The 22,658-nt window shown below is 37.3% G+C and overlaps 2 long non-coding RNA genes across 2 annotated transcripts in view; one reads left to right on the forward strand and one right to left on the reverse strand.

The window, feature by feature from the left end:
• Positions 1 to 22,658, forward strand: part of LOC101928516 (uncharacterized) — a 621,277-nt gene that overhangs the window by 548,384 nt on the left and 50,235 nt on the right. The gene's annotated exons all lie outside the window — the stretch shown is intronic.
• LOC105377858 (uncharacterized) overlaps positions 1 to 22,658 on the reverse strand; it is a 140,187-nt gene that overhangs the window by 23,656 nt on the left and 93,873 nt on the right. The window contains exon 2 of the long non-coding RNA NR_187974.1: positions 18,729 to 18,797. This is a non-coding gene — a long non-coding RNA (uncharacterized LOC105377858). The remainder of the gene's footprint in view (positions 1 to 18,728; positions 18,798 to 22,658) is intronic.

The raw sequence follows: 22,658 nt of genomic DNA on the forward strand, positions 1-22,658 counted from the left end.
AAATGGTGATTAAAAATGAGTAAAACAATTACAAAATATATTGTAGCCTTGCCTATATCAGACAATAGCAAAATAATAAGGTTCCAGTTTGTACTTTAGAGTTCCCAAATAAAAATTTACAAATCCCATAAGGGTTGTAATGAAATTTGTATTTCTAAAACCATGGAATTTAAACATTCTTTGAATATTTCCTCCACCCTGGTTTCGGTTCATTGATAATAATCTTTAAAAAATTGTTCTTATCCACTGAACTGCACCTGAACATCACTGGTCGATTGCATACCATGAGCTGTCCGAAATAGGACAAGCACGAACACAAAATCACATACACATACATACACGCACATAACACTGAAACACATATACAACGCTGGGGAACACTGTTGTTGATGGTTCAGTGGGAAGTTTCCAAATTGGTACAGGTATACATGATATTTAATAGTTTAACAAGGCAAGTGACATAGAGTCAGCGAATTTTTTCAAGTATCACTTGCCTAAAGCTGGTGGCTAAGCATGCTTAATACCCTTTTGAGGTCCCTCCTATCTTTGAGCCAACCTACACACTCCCTGTGGAATGTCCTAGGGCTACAGCCTAGAGACTGCCTCTAAGGGAATCTCTAGGCCCACCTCCCACTTTCTACTCCAAACCACGTGGTCTTAGTGTCCTCAATTTCCATCCTATTCTTTTTTTACTTTCCAGGACCTTCAGACTGATTCCTCAGCAGAAGAGGCCACTTGGCCAGATTCGGCTTTAGCTCTTGGTCTTCCTTTGCTCTGTGCTCTGCAACTCTTGACCAGAGTAGTTCCACTTCTGAGATCAACCCAAGCTCTAAACACTGCAGCCCAGGTGTACTAGTTCGTTTTCATGCTGCTGATAAAGACATACCTGAGACGGGGCAATTTACAAAGGAAAGAGGTTTAATGGAGAACTCACAGTTCTACGTGGCTGGGGAAGCTTTATAATCATGACAAAAGGCAAGAAGGAGCAAGTCACATCTTACATGGATGGTGGCAGGCAAAGACAGAGCTTGTGCAGGGAAATCCCACCTTATAAAGCCATCAGGTCTCATAAGATTTATTCAGTGTCACAAGAATAGCAAGAATAGCACAGCAAAGACCCACCCCCATGATTCAATAATCTCCCCCTGGGTCCCTCCCACAACTCATGGGAATTATGGGAGCTACAAGACAATATTTGAGTGGAGACACAGAGCCAAACCATATCACCAGGTATAATACCCATTTGTCATTTTAAAGTTTTAGAAGCAGACACTTTACATTTAGAAGAACACCTAGGGCCCTGCAGAAAGGGCCAAAAAAGGGTCTTCAGCCAAGAAAGAAAGAGACAGAGACAAAGAATGCATGCTGATTTGGGTTGGACAGCTAAGGTAGTCATGTACTACCCAACAATGATGTAGAGAGACAAGCTGTCTGAAGTCAAAGGGAATTTTGCACTACTCACTGTAGGAATGTTAATATGCTTAAGTGCCAGCATTTTAAGGATATGTGTAGTATCTAATTATGAACAGTAGCAGCTAGAACCATCAAAACAAAGTGACAAAGACCCTTGGACTAAAATTATAAACATTGGATAATTATGGACTGACTCAGAAATTTGTATAATTTGTTTCTTAACTCTGATACAAAAAAAAAGTGCTGCTTCTAATGTAGACGTGAACTGATGTGGAGACGGATAAGCATCAACTAACCACTTGGATTCAAGCTTTGGACAAATATAGAATAAAAACATTTTTTTTTTCTTATCCAAAGCTAAGAATTTCATCACATTTTCTATTTACAGAAATTTGGATTTAGTATCCAAATTGTACTGCTTATTTTTGTAGCTTTATGGTTATCTGGAAATATGTGTGTATATGTATACATGTGTCTATCTGTAGAGTACTTAATGTGTCATACGTAGTACATTTATTCTCTATCAATGCTTCGATTCAATCCTAAATTAAAAATCACCTCTCTTCCAAACACACACACCTGTTTTCAGGTACTGGTGAAAAGTGGTGTCTGAATCCAGTAAGACCTACACAACCATTGAGCAAAGTTTCTACAGCCCAGAGTGAGCTGCCATGAAAACAGCTTCCTTTACAGAATTCTTTCACAAATCCACTTCCTGTCCAAGTAGGCCATGTATTAAAACTAAAAATTAGTATACTTCATCTGTTGAAATGCAAGACATCTGTGACAACCCAACACATAAGGTCTCTTCTGATTTTAAATTAGCTTGGAAATTATTTAATCACTAACTAGTTCCTGCTTTGGGATAATTTATACCACTTTATTAAACCCTAAAACTAATGTTTAAAATTATATGTTTTTTGTTTGTTTTGTTGCCAGACACATGGAGCATATATATTTATTTAATGTAGAAGTTATTTTCATCATGTAAGATCTTATTGAAATAGAAAGATTGTATACTATCTTTAATGAACTTCACTTGGAATTTTGACTAAATATTGGCTTAAGGATAGATGCAGGTAATATAAAATATAGGCCAGAAAAGACAAACAAATAATGTCTGATTTATTTAGCTATTTGGCTTTCTTTGGCCTACTAAACACATCACTGCTAACAAAGTTTTCACGACCAGAGAGCTCTACACAGTTTTATGGCAGCCATTTAAAAAATGATATGTATATCAGTTTCTCCCCTTGACTGCATTTTATAATGTGAAACTTTGGTTTAAAGGAACAGTTATAGGGCCAGGTGTGGTGGCTCACCCCTGTAATCCCAGCACTTTGGGAGGCAGAGGCCGGTAGATCACCTGAGGTCAGGAGCTCGAGACCAGACTGGCCAATATGGCAAAACCCTGTCTGTGCTAAAAATACAAAATTAGCTATGTGTGGTGGCACACACCTGTAATCCCAGCTACTTGGGAGACTGAGGCAGGAGAATGACTTGAACCCAGGAAGCGGAGTTTGCAGTGAGCTGAGGTTGCACCACTGCACTCTAGCCTGGGTGACAGAGTGAGCTCTGTCTCAAAACAAAAACAAAAACAAAACAAAAACAAAACAAAACAAAAAAACAAAAAAGAAGGAACCACTATAGAATATCTCATTGTTGTAATTTATCTGAGTACTGACCAAATGTTTTATCTAGCTCAAAAATTCTCAATTTAGCTTATAAAATTCTATGCTTTACAATACTATAGTTTTAATATTGTTCTTTTCATACAGATGTCTATTTTAGCACACTAATGTTGAACTCTAGTAGAATCTTTGATGAGACCCATTTGCTGCAAATAAAATCGATTTTATTTTGATTAACCATCATTTTAAATTCTATAAAATATTCTATTATAGAAAATAACTGCAATTTAAATTAACATAGTTAAATTAAATTTGATTTTTTTCAAGCATTACTATTATCTGACCTAAAGTATTCTATAAGAAATAAAAGCAAAATTTTTGCAAAATTGTGGAGTGGAGCATAAATTAAAAGAACCAGCACAAAATAAAACTATAAAACTGGCAGCACTCACCTCATAGTTGGTTCATAGTTCTTAATTTTATAACTATATTTAAATTGATCTAAATTTTGAAAAATTAAACTATCCAGCATTTGAAAAATTTATGTACCTTTTCAGGTAAGCAGTATATTAATAAGGCATATTTAGTTTTCAATTAAGTTTTTAAATAATTTTGTGAAGGTAAGGTATTAGTTCTTATCCTTATAGATTGAAGAAATCAAAGCATAATGATATTGTCTTTAATCACAGCTAAATTTTTAATGGGTGAGAACACTGATCTTTTGAATTTTTTAATCAAGTTAATTGTGTTTTTAAAGAAGTTGAATCTACTAGGTATCTACTTGTTACTTTCTTTATAAAAGAAGTAAACCAGTTTTTATCTTGATATATGTAAACATTTACTCTTTCATTGTATTAAGTGACATAGTGTAAAATTTAACTATTAGCATAAAAGTCTGAGAACATTTTTACTTAAAATATATGTAACAGTTTAGCGATGTCATTAAAATAAAATTATTGTATATTTTTATATGCCCAAACTACATTGGTCCCTATGGGTACTAACACAAATTTAGTCAACTAATAACTTAAAAAAACACAAAATCACTTGGCTTTCTGACTTAATAAATTAATACATTTTACAGTATTTAGAATGAAAAACTACTTGCATAAGTTAAAAACCATGTTAATAAAGTTCTATATCATCTTTATAGAATCTCAGTTATATTGAAATTATCTAATTACTACTCTTTTCTCTATTAGAACATATTTTTCTCAGAAAAAAACAGTCTATATTCCATCTATTCTTTGTCAAAATTATGGCATAAATGATGCCATAAAGTAAAGGAATTGAATGTATCTAATAATAAGTAACAGTTTTCTCTAGTCTTCTTGCTAAGTTTACCCAATATCTTTGACAACATAAGTTACTATTTTTATTTGGTATTTGATATGGTTAAGCTTTGTGTCCCCACCCAAAACTAATCTTGGATTGTAATCCCCCTAATCCCCACATGTCAAGGGAGAGACCAGGTGGAGGTAAATGACTCATGGGGGCAGTGTCTTCCATGCTGTTCTCATGATAGTGAGTGAGTTCTCATGAGATATGATGGTTTTATAAGGGGCTCTTCCCACTTTGCTCAGCACTTTTTTCCCCTGATGTCTTGTGAAGAAGGTGCCTTGCTTTCCCTTCACTTTCTGCCATGATTGTAAATTTCTTGAGGCCTCCCCAGCCATGCTGAACTGTGACTCAAATAAGCCTCTTTCCTTTATAAATTAACCAGTCTCAATTACTTCTTTATAGCAGCATGAGAATGGACTAATACAGTAACTTGGTACCGATATAGTAAGGTGCTGCTCTAAAGATACCCAAAAATGTGAAAGCAATTTTGGAACTGGGTAATGGACAGAGGTTGGAACAGTTTGGAGAGCTCAGAGAAGGCAGGAAGATGTGGGAAAGTTTGGAACTTCCTAGAGACTTGTTGAATGATTTTGACCAAAATGCTGATAGTGATATGGACAATGAAGTCCAGGCTGAGGTGATCTCAGATAGATATAGGGAACTTACTGAGAACTGGAGTAAAGGTCACTCTTGCTATGCTTTAGCAAAGAGGCTGGCAGGATTTTGCCCCTGCTCTAGAGATCTGTGGAACTTTGAACTTGAGAGAGACAATCTGAAATTGGAACTTATGTTTAAAAGGGAAGCGGAGCATAAAAGTTTAGAAAATTTGCAACCTGATGATGCAATAGAAAAGAAAAACCCATTATCTGGGGAAAAATTTAAGCTATCTGTAGAAATTTGCGTAAGTAATGAGGAGCCAAATGTTAATTGCCAAGGCAATGGGAAAAAGTTCTTCAGGACATATCAGAGGTCTTTATGGCGGCCCCTCCCATCACAGGCCCAGAGGCCTAGGAGGATGAAATGGTTTCATGGGTCAGGCCCAGGGCCTTGCTGCTTTGTGCAGTCTGAGGACTTCATGCCCTGCATCCCAGCCATGGCTAAAAGGGGTCAACACAGAGCTCAGGCTGTTGCTTCAGAGGGTGCAAGCCCCAAGCCTTGGTGGCTTCCACATTGTATTGGGCTTGCAGTTGCACAGAAGTCAAGAATTGAGGTTTGGGAACCTCCACCTAAATTTCAGAGGACCTAAGGAAATGCCTGGATGTCCAGTCAGAAGTTTACTACAGGTATGAAGCCCTCATGGATAACTTCTGCTAGGGCAGTGCAGAAGGGAAATGTGGGGTTGGAGCCACACACAGAGTCCCCACTGTGGCACTGCCTATTGCAGCTGTGAGAAGAGGGCCACCATCCTTCAGACCCCAAATAGTAGATCCACCAACAGCTTGTACCATCACCATAAGTTTGGAAAAGCCACAGACACTAAATGTCAACCCACAAAAGCAACTGAGAGGGAGGCTGTACCCTGTAAATCCACAGGGGTGGAGCTGCCCAAGGCTGTGGGAGCCCACCTCTTGCATCAGTGTGACCTGGATGTGAGACATGGAGTCAAAGGAGATCATTTTGGAGCTTTACAATTTGACTGCCCTGATGGGTTTCGGACTTGCATGGGGCCTGTACACCCTTCGTTTTGGCCAATTTTTCTCATTTCTAATGGGTATGTTTATCCAATGCCTGTACCCCCATTGTATCTAGGAAGTAACTAACTTGCTTTTGATTATAAAAGCTCATAGGTGGAAGGGACTTGCCTTGTCTCAGATGAGACTTTGAACTTAGACTTTTAGGTTAATTCCAGAATGAATTAAGACTTTGGGGGACTATTGGAAAGGCATGACTAGTTTTGAAATGTGAGGGGGACATGAGATTTCAGAGGTGCCAGGGGAAGAATGATATGGTTAGGCTTAGTGTCCCCACCCAAATCTTATCTTGAATTGTAATCCCCATAATCCCCACATGTCAAGGGAGAGACCAGGTGGAGTTAATTGAATCATGGGGGTGGATTCCCCCATGCTGCTCTTGTGATAGTGAGTTCTCATGAGATCTGATGGTTTTATAAGGGGCTCTTCCTTTTTCACTCAGCACTTCTCCTTCCTGCAGCCTTGTGAAGAAGTTGCCTTGCTTCCCCTTCACCTTCCACCATGATTGTAAGTTTCTTGAGGTCTCCCCAGCCATGCTGAACTGTGAGTCAATTAAACCTCTTTCCTTTATAAATTACCCAGTCTCAGGTATTTCTTTACAGCAGTGTAAGAACAGACTAATACAATATCCCTTCTGTTTTAATTTAGAGGAACATTTTATTATTCTTAGTATTTTTCCTTGACTCACAATTTACTCTTCTTAATTTTAAAATATGTAATTTTTGGGAAAAATAATTTCTATGAGTAGTTGTAAGTGCCACCAATTTTGGTATGAAACAGATCATTCTCTCTACATTTGAAAACAAACCAACAAAGTCTTGTTCATTATACTAAAGATATGATATATTGTAAGTAATTTCATTTTCTAGTAAATACATGATTAATAAAGTAAACCTTTTAATTTAAAATGGAGTCACTTAAACAGCACACTTTGCTGTTTTATTAATATTTTATGAAAATGTATGCATTGATGATTAGAAATTTTCTACAGTAGTTTTATAAACATGTTGTGCATCTTCATAGTGAAGGTTGTATAAAAGATTGGATTAAAAGAACACTTTGTTGTTTGCTAAATAAGTCTTTTCTCTCTTATTTGTCACTATCTCCTAAATTTGAACTTAAACAAATAATTACATTGAGATATAAAATGTGAATTCCAATTCATCAATATTACTTTAGAATCAATAATTAGAAGGAATTCTATTTTAATAAATGAACAAATCCACATTACAAATCATTACTGAAAGTATCAACCACTCACTGGTTATGAGGTTTCTTATTAATTATTTTGGCATCAAGGAGAGAAGGAATATTCAGTTACTGAGTCAATTCTCTCACTGTTCTGTGTATATTTTCACTAAACCATAAATACTCAGAAATTTTTGAAGATAAAAAAGTCAATGATGGAGTATAGGAGAGAAAGGAAATTAAAGTTTCAAGCTAGTGTTACTGATTAAATGATAAAACAATTGCAGTAAATGCAGAAGAAAAAAATTATTTTATTTGGGGGGAGTTGGAACTCTTTGAGTTTGAGATACCACTACCAGCCTACTGTTGGCAACGAGGCATTACAGTTTACAACCATGTTAACACAGCCACAAATTATGTTTAGAATCCTCTGCGAGGAGGTCAGAACTGAATAGTAAAGTGAATGAGATAACTCTGAGACTGAATGTGTGACACAGAAGTGAGAAGACTATGGAAAAACACTATTATCTATAGTTTGAAAATTATATGGGAAAGAGAAGCAAGCAAACAGGCAGGGAAAAGGTCAGAGATATTGGAAGATAAACAGATGATGGAATGGTAAGGAACCCAAGGAAGGATAGGATTTTTAGAACAGAGATAAAGCCCAAACCAGTGGTTTGGTGGTCTACAAAATTTGTACTGACATTCCTCCTAAAATAATTTTGAAAAACTCTGGCCCCTCACACATGTTTAACATCTAAAAATATTCAACACAGGTATAAATAATTTTAGAGAATGTAATTTACAACATACTATAGATGTTGATATAGTGTTATATGACTCTTCTCAATGTACTCAATGGAATATAAAAAACAGCAACTTGATACCCACCATCATCTACTATAAAAACAGATTAGAGGAGGCAGGGTCAAGATGGCCAACCAGAAACAGTGGCGTTCAGAGCCTCCCATTAGAAAAACAAAACAAAACAGAATAAGCATGTGAATCCTTCACCAGCAACCAAGATATCCAGGTTCTCTCATCAGAACTGACTAGGAGGCTGGCATGACCCACAGAGAGAAGGAAGAACAGTGTGATGTGGTGGCCTACCTGAGAGCCATACAGCACAGGGGAGCCCCCTCCTCCCAGCCAAGGGAGGCAATGAGTGAGCATGCTACCTGGCCTGGGAAACCATGCTTTTTCCACGGAAGAGTGCAACCCACAGATTGGAAAATCCCACTCTTGAACCCTCGTCACTGAGGCCTAACTGTCCCAACCCTGGAATGTGCAGATTCTCAAAAGCCTCTCAGCTGGAATCTGCTTAAGCCTACCAAACACCTGCGGGAAGGGGTGACCCATATCTGCAGCTGTGGCTGCCTGCTTTCTAAGCTGTTTGAGCTCCTTGGGGGAGGGGCAGCAGCCAGCACTGGGACTGGCAACTGCCTAACACAGTAAGCTCCCTGGATAGGGGAAGGGTGGCATCCAGCTCTGTAGCTACAGGCTGCACTTTTACCCTGCTAGAGCCAGGGAGGCTGGATGGCTTGGTCCTAAGACTTGTCCCCCACAGCCTAATACACTGGCCGTAGCAGTCTGTGGCCAGAGTGCCCCTTCAGGCCTGACCCTGACCCGTGCATCATCATTGGGCAGGGCTTTCCTGCAGGAGGAACTCCAATAACTCCAGCCTTAGGCTCAGGGACAGAACCCGGATCTCCCTGGGCCTGAGCCCCTAGAAGGAGGGGTGGCTGTAGTCTCTGCAAACCAGCAGACCTAGCCTTTCCTCCTGGTAGTTCTGAGGAATCCAGGCAGCCCAGAAAAGTGGGTTTCCCCACAGCAAGGCACACCCCCTCCACCAAGGGACAAAGTGCTTCATTAAATGGGTCCTATTCCCCGTGCCACCAACTGGGTGAGACCCTCCAACAGGGGTTGTCGGACACCTTATACAGGAGTGATCCTCCTGGCATCAGGTTGGTGCCCCTTGAGGTCAGTGGTCCCAGAAGAAGGGGCAGACACCCATTTTTGCTGTTCTCCAGCCTCTCTGAGTGACATCTCCAGGTGCAGGAGCAAATCAGATGAATAGGGCCTGAAGTGAACCCCCAGCAAACCACAGCAGCCCTACAGAAGAGGAACCTAACCATTGAAAGAAAAACAAGCAGAAAGCAACAACTACAGCATCAACAATAACAACAACAACAAAAGCCCCCAAAAAACCCCATCTAAGGGTCAACAGCCTTGAAGACCAAAACTAGACAAACTCATGAAGATGAGAAAGAATTGGAAAAAAATGCTGAAAACCCAAAAGGCCAGAGTGCCTCTCCTCCTCCAAATGATCACAGTGTCTCTCCATCAAGGGCACAGAACTGGATGGAGGATCAGATGGACAAATTGACAGAAGTAGGCTTTAGAAGATGGGTAATAAAAAACTATGCTGAGCTAAAGGAGCATGTTCTAACCCAATGCAAACAAGCTAAGAACTTTTATAAAAGGTTAAAGGAATTGCTAACTAGAATAACCAGTTTAGAGAGGAACATAAACTACCTGATGGAGCTGAAAAACACAGCTTGAGAACTTCGTGAAGCATGCACAAGTATCAATAGCTGAACTGACAAAGCAGAAGAAAGGATATCAGAGTTTGAAGACCACTTTTCTGGCATAAGGCATGCAGACAAGACTAGAGAAAAAAGAATGAAAAGGAATGAACAAAACCTCCAGGAAATGTGGGACTTCATAAAAAGACTGAACCTATGACTGACTGGGGTACCAGAAGGAGACAGAGAGAATGGAAACAAGCTGGAAAACACACTTCAGGATATTATCCAGGAGAACTTCCCCAACCTAGCAAGACAGCCCAACATGCAAATTCAGGAAATTCAGACAACACCATTAAGATACTCCATGAGAAGATCAACCCCAAGACATAATCATCAGATTCTCCAATGTTCAAATGAAGGAAAAACTGTTAAGGCAGCCAGAGAGAACAGCCAGGTCACCTACAAAGTGAAGCCCATCAGACTAACGTGAAACTCTCAGCAGAAACTCTACTATCCAGAAGAGATTGAGGGCCAATATTCAACATTCTTAAAGAATTTTCAACCCATAATTTCATATACAGCCAAACTAAGCTTCATAAGCAGAGGATCAATAAAATCCTTTTCAGACAAGCAAATTCTGAGTGATTTCATTACCACCAGGCCTGCCCTGCAAGAGGTCCTGAAAGAAGCACTAAATATGGAAAGGAAACACTGGTACCAGCTACTGCAAAAACACACCAAAATATAAAGACAGATAACACTATGAAGAAACTGCATCAAATAATGTGCAAAATAACCAGCTAGCATCATGACGACAGGATCAAATTCACACATAGCAATACTAACCTTAAATGTAAATGGGCTAAGTGCCCACAATTAAAAGACACAGACTGGCAAATTGGATAAAGAGTCAACAACCATTGGTGTGCTGTATTCAGGAGACCCATCTCATGTGCAAAGACACACATAGGCTCAAAAAAAAGGGATGGAGGAAAATTTACCAAGCAAATGGAAAGCACAAAATAGCAGGGGTTGCAATACTAGTTCTGACAAAATAGACTTTAAATCAATAAAGATAAAAAAGGACAAAGAAGGGCATTACATAATGGTAAAGGGATCAATGCAACAAGAAGAGCTAACTATCCTAAATATATATGCACCCAATACCGGGGCACCCAGATTCATAAAGCAAGTTCTTAGAGACCTACAAACAGACACTCCCACACAATAATAGTGGGATACTTTAACACCCCACTGTCAGTATTAGACAGATCAATGAGACATAAAATTAACAAGGATATTCAGGACTTGAACTCAGTTCTGGATCAAGTGGACCTGGTAGATGTCTACAGATCCTCTACCCCAAATCAATAGAGTATACAATCTTCTCAGTGCCACATGGTACTTATTCTAAAATTGACCACACAATTGGAAGTAAAACACTCCTCAGCAAATGTAAAAGAACTGAAATCATAACAAACAGTCTCTCAGACCACCATGCAATCAAATTAGAACCCAGGATTAAGAAGCTCACTCAAAACCACACAATTACATAGAAATTGAATAACCTGCTCCTGAATGACTCCTGGATAAATAATGAAATTTAGGCAGAAATCAAGAAGTTATTTGAAACCAATGAGAACAAAGAGACAGCATACCAGAATCTCTGGGACACAGCTAAAGCAGTGTTAAGAGGGAAATTTATAGCACTAAATGCCCACGTCAGAAAGCTAAAAAGATCTAACATCACAATTAAAACAGCTAGAGAGGCAAGAGCAAACTAATCCAAAACTAGCAGAAGATAAGAAATAACTAAGATCAGAGAAGAATTGAAGGAGATAGAGATAAGAAAAACCCTCCAAAATAATCAGTGAATCCAGGAGATTGTTTTTTGAAAAAATTAACAAAATAGATAGACCACCAGCTAGACTAATAAAGAAGAAAAGAGAGAATCAAATAGGCACAATAAAAAATAATAAAGGGGATATCACCACTGACCCCACAGAAATACAAGCTACCATCAGAGAATACTATAAACACCTCTATGCAAATAAACTAGAAAATCTAGAAGAAATTGATAAATTCCTGGACGCATACACCCTACCAAGACTAAACCAGGAAGAAGCTGAATCCCTGAATAGACCAATAACAAGCTCTGAAATTGAGGCAATAATTAATAGCTTATCAACCAAAAAAAAAAGCCCAGGACATACACATACATAATTTACTTATCTTGTGTATTTATGTTTCCTTGTCTGTTTTCACTTACTAGCATGTAAGCTCCATGTGGAAGTCAGTAAGCTTGCTTGCTTTTTCCTTCCTTCCTTCCTTTCCTTCCTTCCTCCCTCCTTCCCTCCCTTCCTTCTCTTCTTCCTCTTCCTCTTCTTTCTTTCTCTTTTCTTTCTTTCTTTTTCCTTCCTTCCTTCCTTTCTCTCTCTCTCTCCATCCCCCCACTCTGCCTCTCCCCACTGTCTCTCTCTCTCTCTCTCTCTCTCTCTCTCTCCCTCCCTCCCTCCCCAAACACCTAGAATAATGGCTGGCAAATAATATGTGTCCAGAAATGGTTTTATAAATAAAAAGCATTGAAACTTCACATATACTTAATTTAATGTATGGAAAATAGCCCCATAAAAATACAATTACCAGGCCAGTCCTCAATTATCAACCTATCTGACATAGGTTCTTTCCAAAAGTGTCTGATTTCATCTTTCCTTTTTAAATAACTGTGTTAGTACTCAACCTCAAGGCAAGCATCATAATTTTGAATTGGAATTCTAAAAGAGCTAAGTAAGGTTGGCAGGGAGATGGAGCAGAAGGATGAATAAATCCTCAGGAGCTCAATATGTCCTCAGGACCTTGCCCAGAACTGGGGACCTGGATGGAATGAGGTGCTGCTACCTTCAGTACTGTTTCCTTTACTTTGCCCACAGGGGAACCTCCCTCCAGAGCACTGTATTCTTTGAAGGCAGCCCAAGGATGAAATCAATGAGTACAAGAATAAAAATTCTTATTACTCTGGGAATTCAGAACAGTTACACACATGACACAATCTCAAAGTTCTAAAATCAAGTTTAACGTTAAGGACATATGTATATAACAGAGACAGACAAAATAGCCGGCCCAGGCCTTAATCAATATTTTGAATTGTCCCTTTATTTGCATCCAGAAGGCTCTTTTACATCATCCACTCCCCCACCCCGCCTTCCCCTTCTTCCAGGGGAATGTATTTTAGTAAGATTGATAAATGAGAGTTATAACTATCTTTTCTAAAATGGGAAAAGGAGGTGTCATAAAGCAGAACCAGAGTGACACTTAAATCCAGGACCAGCTACTTAATTTGTGAACCAGAAATGTAGAGCCCTTTTTATTAAAAAAATTATTAAGAATTTTCAGATGGTGACAGAGAACATTAAACCAGGGTGTGACCCTGTGCTGCTGCACAGATCACATGCCCATGAAGCTGGCCCTGACTGAATGACTTCAACATACACATTCCAGGGGCAAGTCAGTTTTAGGAAAGAGTACCTAAAGAAGGTGAGAACTTAGAAATAGATTCCCTTATGACTCCCCATTTCCACTTGTCTCTTAGAAAGTCTGTGTACCACGAGAGATACGTGAACTCCAGCTTATCTGGGGTTTTCCACTAATTACATCCTCAAGTAAGTTCAAGATTGAATTACACATCGAGAGAGTTTATGTCACAATTATTTTATGACATCAGAAAATTCAAAAATGATTTTTTAGCTTTTCTTTTGAGTTACTCCTGTTGACTGCATGAAAAAGTTATAGCTCTGGGCAACACAGCACACATTCCTTATTTTATATCTATGAAATCCACAAGATAGGAAGGCCAACTAAATCTTACCAGATACCAAAGAAAATAGAAAGTAATAGACCTCAATAAATCCTATAAAAATGCTACATATGTGATTAAGACCTTTAAATTTATGACCATTATTAAAAACTTCCAGCATTAAAAATGGATTTATAAGGAATTCTGTGTGTTTGAAATTATTCAAAAGGGGAAATAACAACAAAGTAGAGTTAACTGGGACAGAGATCAAGGAATTAAACTGCATAGTCACTGTGACAATGACTCAGGTTTGTTAAGAGAGGGTTGGATGGCTCTTAAATGTTAATAGGACACCTCTCTGCAAGCCGATGGCTGATCAGATGTCTCTGGAATATATTACATCACAGGTCCTGCGTGTCTGGGGTTATACATAAACAGTTGCTATCTTCTGGTCTCCAAGGCTACACTACAGTCTGTGCAAATTAATTTCATTATAGTGTTGTTTTACATCATGAGCATTTGAAAACAGTTCATCATGGGGTTTCTCAAAGTTTACTTCCCTACTATCTACCTCCACTGTATCAGAATCCCTTGAGGGACAGCCCAGAAAGCTGTATTTTTGAAAAAGCTTCCTAGATGGTTCTTGAGCATCATCTAGTTTTGGAAAATTTTTGTATCATGAGATATGGAAAACTAAGGCCTAGAAGCCAAATCTGATCCAACACCTGTTTTTGTAAATAAAATTATTTTGTAACACAGCCATTCCCATTCATTTACCCATAGTCTATGATTTCTTTCACAACCAAGGACAGAGTTGAATGGTTGGGTCACAGACTGTGTGGCTTGCAAAGCCTAAAATGTTTACTATCTGACACTTTATAAAAAAAGTTGACCAATCTCTGTTCTGTCCTTTTAAGCAAACTTTAACTTATTCATCCCAATAATACTTTTACCAGTACTGAGGATAAATTTTGAAATTTTGAAAATGATTTCCATTTTTTTCCTTAGTAGAAAAGTACTCTTAATCTAGAGTGCATATTTGTGGTGAAAGGTGGTCTTTGTTGCTGCCTAAAAACAGAATGTCCCAGATGCAATCCATAATCTTCTGGGTGGGGCTGTATTTTAGCAAAGATTCATTCACTGATTCACATTTCAGTCTATATTTATAAAGCAAAACTTTGAATTTTTAGTCCTTTGCTCAGACCCATAATTTCAGGATTAAATTACGCTCTGCTCCTCTCTAGAGGCTGAACCTTCAGGAAAGACCATCCAGTTTTAGCTCTGCAAGTCTCCAATTCTCTGAGGCAGTCTGTGACCTTTTATGGCTAAGCTTTGCTTTATCTCTTGCATGGCTATGCAAGCTTGTAGCTCACAAGGTTAAAATTATCATATATGCCTTTGAAAATATGGAAGGGCTGAGAGATCTGTCTGTCCCAATAAATACTCTATTAAGTTTATTTAAACAAAAGAAGTATCAACTGATGGCCTTGTGTGTTTAATACTTCCTCAAAGGAATATACATGGAATATTCTGTTTGAGCTTTCTTTTTCCATTGTAATAATGTGATTTTTGGTCTCAGAACGTAACACTCTGTTTGAATAACATTAGATGTGGATTACTTATATTGTGCACTACTCACCTGAGATGTTTTGACTCAAAGAACTCAGAAGGCACCATAGACAGCAAATATGCTCTTCTTATTATTTTTACTAATGAGTATATCTAGGCTCCAAAAAGCTTATATAATTCGTAAATAGTTGATCAATACAATAACTATCTATTGAACATTAAACAATGTACTAAAGCTCTAGCGGTCCCAGATTTTGATCTGTGGTCAATTGATAATATTCTATTAGGAGAAAATGACCAAAGCTATTTTATAGAAAAATTAATTGGCATTTCAGACTATTTGAAAATAAGATTTACTTAGATTATTAACATTTCCAGGATTATTTATTGATAAGATTTTCTATTTAGAAGACATAGTATGGAAAAGTGATGAAACGTTAGAACTGAAAGAACTTTAATAATTTTTCTAGTCCATGTTCCTTCTTTTTATTTAAGCTATTTGAGGAGAGTTGTTCCCTGCTCCATACAGATTATAATTTCTATGACACTGGAGAATTTGATCCTTACCTATCTTTCCTCCCATATTTCCCATACCCTATAAAAACCCTATATTCCTACCAAATGGAAGACGTACCCAGATGTGGTTTCTAATATCCCACCTCTTGCTTACTTTCATCCTGGAGTGTCCTATTTCAGGATCTATAGTCATTTAAGTCCTACCATCTTTTATCTTCACAAACTTATAGCTAGCTTCTTTTGCCTGGAATGTGGCACATCCCTGAGTCTCTCTCTCTCTTTCTCTCTCTTCTTTCTGAGGAGTTGAGTCAAGGTTGAGTCCATTCAACCTTGTTTGGTGTGCAGAACTTGGGCCTTGGGATGATGATCAAGATTTAAGACACAATTCTGAATATAACTTTTGTTAATTCAAAAGACTGTGGTAAGTTTCATAAAAATATTGTTACAAAAACTGAATTGGGTGATGTGTATTAAAACAATTTGTCTTTGAGAAGTTCTACACATATAAGTTGCTGTAGTCATGTATATATTTTAATCCTCATAAGTGCAAGCATGGTCTTATTTATCTGTGCATCCATAAGGGCTAGGAACTTGTTATATTTTTCCTGGTATAGTTAGCACCAAACGCAATGCCTGGCATGTTTGGTATTCAATAAGTCTTTACTACCTAACTGATTGATGAGTTGATTGATAAATGAGTAAATGATTGAATTAAGAAATGAAAAGGTATTTAATAAATACAGAAAAGTATGTTCTTTTCTATCCTCCATTCTTGTCCATTTTTATAAATGTCGTTTTTCTTTTTCTTTTTTTTTTTTTTTTGAGACAGAGTCTCGCTCTGTCACCCAGGCTGGAGTGCAGTGGCGCAATCTCGGCTCACTGCGAGCTCTGCCTCCTGGGTTCACACCATTCTCTTGCCTTAGCCTCCCGAGTAGATGGGACTACAGGCACCCACCACCACACCCGGCTAATTTTTTTTGTGTGTGTGTATTTTTAGTAGAGGCGGGGTTTCACCGTGTTAGCCAGGATGGTCTTGATCTCCTAACCTCATGATCTTCCCGCCTCGGCCTCCCAAAGTGCTGTGGTTTTTCTTTGTCTGAACAGTTAACAGTACATTCATCTGTATTTCCATAGTATTTGGAAAATAACTTTAGACATAGTTTTTGACTTTATAACTTCCTTTGGCATGATATTGACTCATCATATTGAATAGTAATTGTGTAACAACATATTCATATCAGAATGAGATTAGCTATTTTATTTTGTGTTAATCTCAGTACCTTCACTGTGTCAGAGACAAAATAGGTGCTCAATAAATTTTTGTCACATTGGATTAAATTAAATGTGTTGCTTGTGCTTTTGTGTCATCACTCTGTTGTCTCTATCATAAGGAGGACTTTCACCTCCTATTATTTAGTTTTGCCTCCTGAGCCCTGGGGGTTTTTAGGGGATGATTTGGGGGAGGGGAGATTGGAATTTGTATTTACTGCATCTGAAGCAGATCATCACACAGGGACATATGAGGTGTATGTATAGGAGTGAGGTCAAGTCAAAGGAAAAGAATGGCCCCCCTTCTGCTACAGTCATGTATTCTATTTGATATTAATTGCCTTTCTAGATGATCAAATATCTGGCATATGAAAATAAAATTATGTACTTCTCTGAACTAAACCCTTCGATGGCCCTGGAGATAAAGTTCAAACACTTTAAAATAAGGTTAGAAAGTCCTTCTTCACTTGGCCCTTCTTATTTCTAGGCTCTAGGTACAAGCAGCTTCTTGCAGACCTTTGTACCTACTATTTTCTCCTGCCTGCCTCTGCCTAGAACATTCCATATGCCCCTTTCCCTTCCTCACTCTTTCTCACCTTTCAAAAATTCCAGTGGGGCACTTAAAAGTTAGTTATCATGTGAGCCAGAGGGCCAGAATGGAAACTTGAGAGTAACATGATTAGTTACAGAAAACATAGGGGACCCAAATTCTTCACATCCTGAAAGTTATGACAAACTTATTCCTCAGATATTGGCAGTTCTCAATGTCATCAGCAAATAAACAACAAAAATGTTTTCTTAAGCATGCTAGTCTTCACTGGAAGAATCTTAAACAGAAAGATCACTTCCCTTCTACATTGGTCTTTGGATGAACATTTTTCTTTTCTTAATCTGTTTCACACATAAAATGCAAGTAATCCAGACTGATTAAATAAGCTTGTTCATCAAAAACAAAATACACAAAATGTCATTTTGCATTTCATAAATATTTTTTCAGGTCTTAAATCCACTGAAAAATGCCCCCCCACCAAAAAAAACAGTGAGACTTACAGATGAAGCCTTATGACTGACCACATATCAAAGAGGCCCTGAGTCTCTCAGTACCTTCTTGACCAACCAGGCCTGCTCCCAGCCACACTTTCACTGTTGACTCTCCTCCTGGTTACCCATGGGAAGGTTTCATGACACTTTCCTTTTTATCTGCTTGCCATTTCTCACTAAGATTTGGCAGTCAGGATATGGCTTGTCTGGATTCCAAGGGCATCCGAAATTTAGAACCCGAATAGAAATGTGAAAAGGGAGGTTTGGGTTAACCTCTGGCCACTTGAAGGGCAGTCCTTTCAAACATTAGAAGGTCCCCAGTTCAGGAGAATGGGGAAAAAAATTAGAGCACAATGATGTCCTCTAAAAACTTAACGTGTACTGGAAGTTGACCTGATAAATGGTCTCTCTCTTTTAACTGCAAACAGACTTCCCTCCTTAATATCTCAAGTAGGTCAGAAAACTTGTTTCTTGAGATAAAAATAATAACATTTTATTTCATTTTTCTATTTTTCAAATGTGTGCATACAAAACTTTTCAATAAGGACACAAAGAGAAGGTATAGTTTTTTTCATAATTTCCATCTTCAGTATAGTATAAAACTTAAATTTTCATCCAAATTACCTTACTTCTTTCCCTTAAAGAGGTTATTCATTCACAACAACTTTCTGTTAAAAATGTTTGTCTTGAGAGAGCTATCGTACTAGAGTAAGCAAAGAAAAGTAAAATAACAGTACATATACTCTACCTTGAAACCTCTTAGGGATGATCAGATTATTTCTCTTTGTCCTGCTCCCATGCATGGACTTTCTCAAATCTAAAAAACAGGATTATTTTTAAAGGAAATTAATACATAGTGAAGAAAACCTAAAGGAATGAAAATTTTACCCAGAGGTGTTTTTTATATTAAACTACCAACTATAGACCCCAAATAGATACAATAATTAACCATCAATGAATGAGCCAATAAAGTTGTAGGACACTGTTTATTTTGTTACAGAAGTTCAAAAGCTGCCCTGATTTTTTCTAAAATAACACCCTGAACATATCTATAGTCCTTTTCAATTTACAAAGGGATTTTTTCTCATCCTATGTCTCATTTGAGCCTTGTAACAAAGGTTTCTTTGGGGTCAAAAGTAGGTATCACTTTTAATACAAATTTTATTAAAAATTTTTCATTATTCTTTCCCATTTTACTTTTTATACCTCCTTGTCATAATTTTTACATTCTTTTAAAAAATTAGTTTATCAACCAAATTGTTATTTATTCAACACTTTTATGCATATGTCACCCTGTAGTTCTGAAATAAAACTGTATAAGATATAATCTCCCCTAATGGAGTCTGTATTTTATTTGGGTAGAGAAAAAAAATCCCTAATATGTATTCTAAAACTACAACCTATTTAAATAAATGTTTATGATGCTCATATGGTAAATGTCAAACACTCAAAGCATCATATATAAATTGATTCCAAATAAGTAGTTAAAGAACGGGTACCGGTCTGATTCCTTTCAAGCAAAAATATAGAATGCAGATATTTGAGAATTTAGTGTTGCCAACACTTGAAATTTTCACATTAAGATTGCACTTTTTTTTTAAAACTTATCACTCATGGCAACATCAGGCCCATATTCCCATGTAATTCACGTGCATGGCTTGGAAGGAAGGCAGCTTTATCCAAAAGGGGTAAGTTGCATCCAATATTGAGGCTCTGTAAGGAACTATCTTGCTACAGCCAGCCCAGTTCATTCATTAAGATCCTGACCTCCATATGCAGCTAAGCTTGCAACCTCTGTGTTAAACTAATAACTGCTATGGACATTTGGAAGAGTGAGATACCACAGGCTTGGGTTCTAGGGTCCTAAAGAAGATAGGGACGTATGATATGAGTTTCAAGGGAAAGGAAATAGCTTTGTGCTCCCACAAAAGCACAAAGAAATAAAGCAGAGGTGGGTTTAACAAGAAATAGGTAATCCAGTGGGCTAGATCACAGTGTTCAGTGTATCGCTGAAAGCTTCTTGAAAAGGGTAATCACATTGGTATTCTCTTTTATCTACTCCAAACTGTCCCCTACTTATTACAATCTGACTACTTCCAGTCAGGACTTGCTTTTTGTGCTGATCTGTTTAACCTTTAAAGTTAAACAGCATGATCTATCCACAGTAGACATGATCTCCCTGTCATGGTTGGTGACTCGTGGTCAGAGCCACTACTAGAGTAATATTCATGGGCTCCTATTGGGGATAAATAAAATAATAATACATTTTCATGTGGCTCCTCCCACAAACCCTTCTGATAAGTGGTTGCCAAATAGTGTTCTAAAATTGAAAAAAGTGTGTTTCTGCATTATACTAAAGTCAGAAACACTTTAACTTAAATATTTGCTTTTTGTTTAAAGAATATGTTGGAATTATACAGACAGAAAAATGGAATATGTAATAGAATAGCTATAAATGAACTTCACTGCATACACTCACAGAAAGTTTATTTTGCTGGCTTAATAAAATATTAATTTTGGCTGAAACTGAATGATTTAATATGAATAAAGCAAAGCAAAATATAAAAGGACTTTTATTTTGTGTAAAGAAGCAGTACTTGTAGAACAGAGCATGTAAAAACATGACAAAGTAACTAATAAAGTCACTGATTCCTATTAATTTTCCCAAAATACTGAATGATGTCAGCCTGTAAAAATGAATTGCATTACTGTCAAGGTAATTCAGTTGCCATGTATAAGTTCAGTGGCTACAATGTCACAGTAATGAACATTAGTCTTTGTGGAAAAAAGTTCAATGTGTGCTTCGGAATGTCCTGCATCTCTGCCCTTTGAAACTTCATCTGGTCCAAATTACCATCTGCTCCTAATTTGATTCAGTGGCAGAGAATGAGCTGGGCTTCTGTACTTGAGCTGAAGCAGACATGCTTCATTAGGTCCGGTTCTCGTGTTATTCTTTATATATCAGCTAAAGTTTATAGTAACTTTATATAGACTTAACAACTTTATGAAGTTCTATTCATAATGCATAGTGTTGCATTTAAGTAACACCTTTTTGGTCATTTAACTATCAAGTTCATTTGAAGATTGTATGTGATTTTTTAGCTGAACAAATAAAAGCTTCTGCTCTGCCTCTTATGTTATAATATTTTATTTTGTCTTCCCACCTCAGAATTGTTATCATAAAGCAATTGAATGTATTCATTTTGAACAGATTGGGTATATGTTTGCTAGGGGTCTAACAGTCACTGGCCTATTCAGTTTATCTAATATGTAAAGATTGCTATTATGTGCCAGGTATTGTACACAGCCTTTACCTTCCCTGAAATATCAGGCTTTTGGAGAAGACAGACATTAACCATGAAGACCCCAAAGCCAAAACTGTCTTAACAGTTCAAAGGACATGCTTTGTTTACTCCTCACTACTATTCTGTACCCACAGTGTCTTTGGGTGCTAGTCCAAGCAGAACTGGGTGTGATCAGCTCCGGCCATATTCACCACAGGCAGAGCAATGTGGTATATGGATGCTGCTCAGGCAAATTCTCTGATTCCTAGCCTTGTTTTTCCATCCGGACAAAAATTCATCCATCCATCTAAGACAGGTCAAATCTGGCCTGCTGCCTGTTTTTATATGGTCTAGGAGCTAAGAATCATTGATATTACACTTGTAAATGATTGAAAGCAAATCAAAAGAAGAAGAGTATTTTGTGACACATAAAAATTGTACGAAAATCAAATTTCAGTGTTAATAAAGTTATATTAGAATACAGCTATGTTCACTCATTTACATATTGTCTATGTCTCCTTTCACAGTACAATAACAGATTGAGTGGTTATAATGGAGGCAGTATGGCCTACAAAACTGAAAATATTTACTAATTGTCCCTCTATAGAAAAGTTTGCCTACCCCTGGTGTAAAGTGCCATATTATCTCTTTTCTGATTTTTCTCATGAATCTATTCACTGTATAATGGAAACTGCCTAAGATATTATTCCTTCATTTCTTCTTCTAGTTCCTGAATTTTTCTTCCACAAGCACATGACAACCTCACATTACAAAACCCCACAGCTTATTATTCCCAAAATAGGGAGGGGAGATGACAGCTAGCCAGAAGCACATGACCCCTGGGAATATGACCTGATTTTTTTCAGCCTCATAATGTGACACAATTCACTTACCTATGTTTAGGGTATTTCCATTCTAAGAACAAAAACCACTTTCCTCCAATTAGCTATTAGATGCCATATTTTGAATAGGACAATTCTATAACATAGTTTGATACATAATACATTTTGGCTTCTTAATTCCCTAAAATCATCAGGGGTAAGGTTACATAAGTTTTAAATGATTTTGACTATTAGCCCTAATTTATAATATCTCTCCTCCCCTAAAACTTCTAAGAATTTCTGTAATATAAATATTCATAAATAGCTAATAGATTTGCAAAATGGCAAAATTTGACTACTATAGCTAGCTTAGTAAGCACTTATTTAAATATTTAATTATACTACATACTTATTGAAACTCTCGAATATATAACAGTGATAACTGATTTATAGGAGTGAATTATATTGTTTAAAATACATTTCATCTTCCATATTTATCTGCATACAATATGCATGACTGATTATAACTATCTAATATTTTCCATTTTAATGTTTTCTGTACACAAATAACCA

This window comes from Homo sapiens, chromosome 6 (assembly GCF_000001405.40).
Source record: "Homo sapiens chromosome 6, GRCh38.p14 Primary Assembly".
Taxonomy (NCBI): domain Eukaryota; kingdom Metazoa; phylum Chordata; class Mammalia; order Primates; family Hominidae; genus Homo; species Homo sapiens.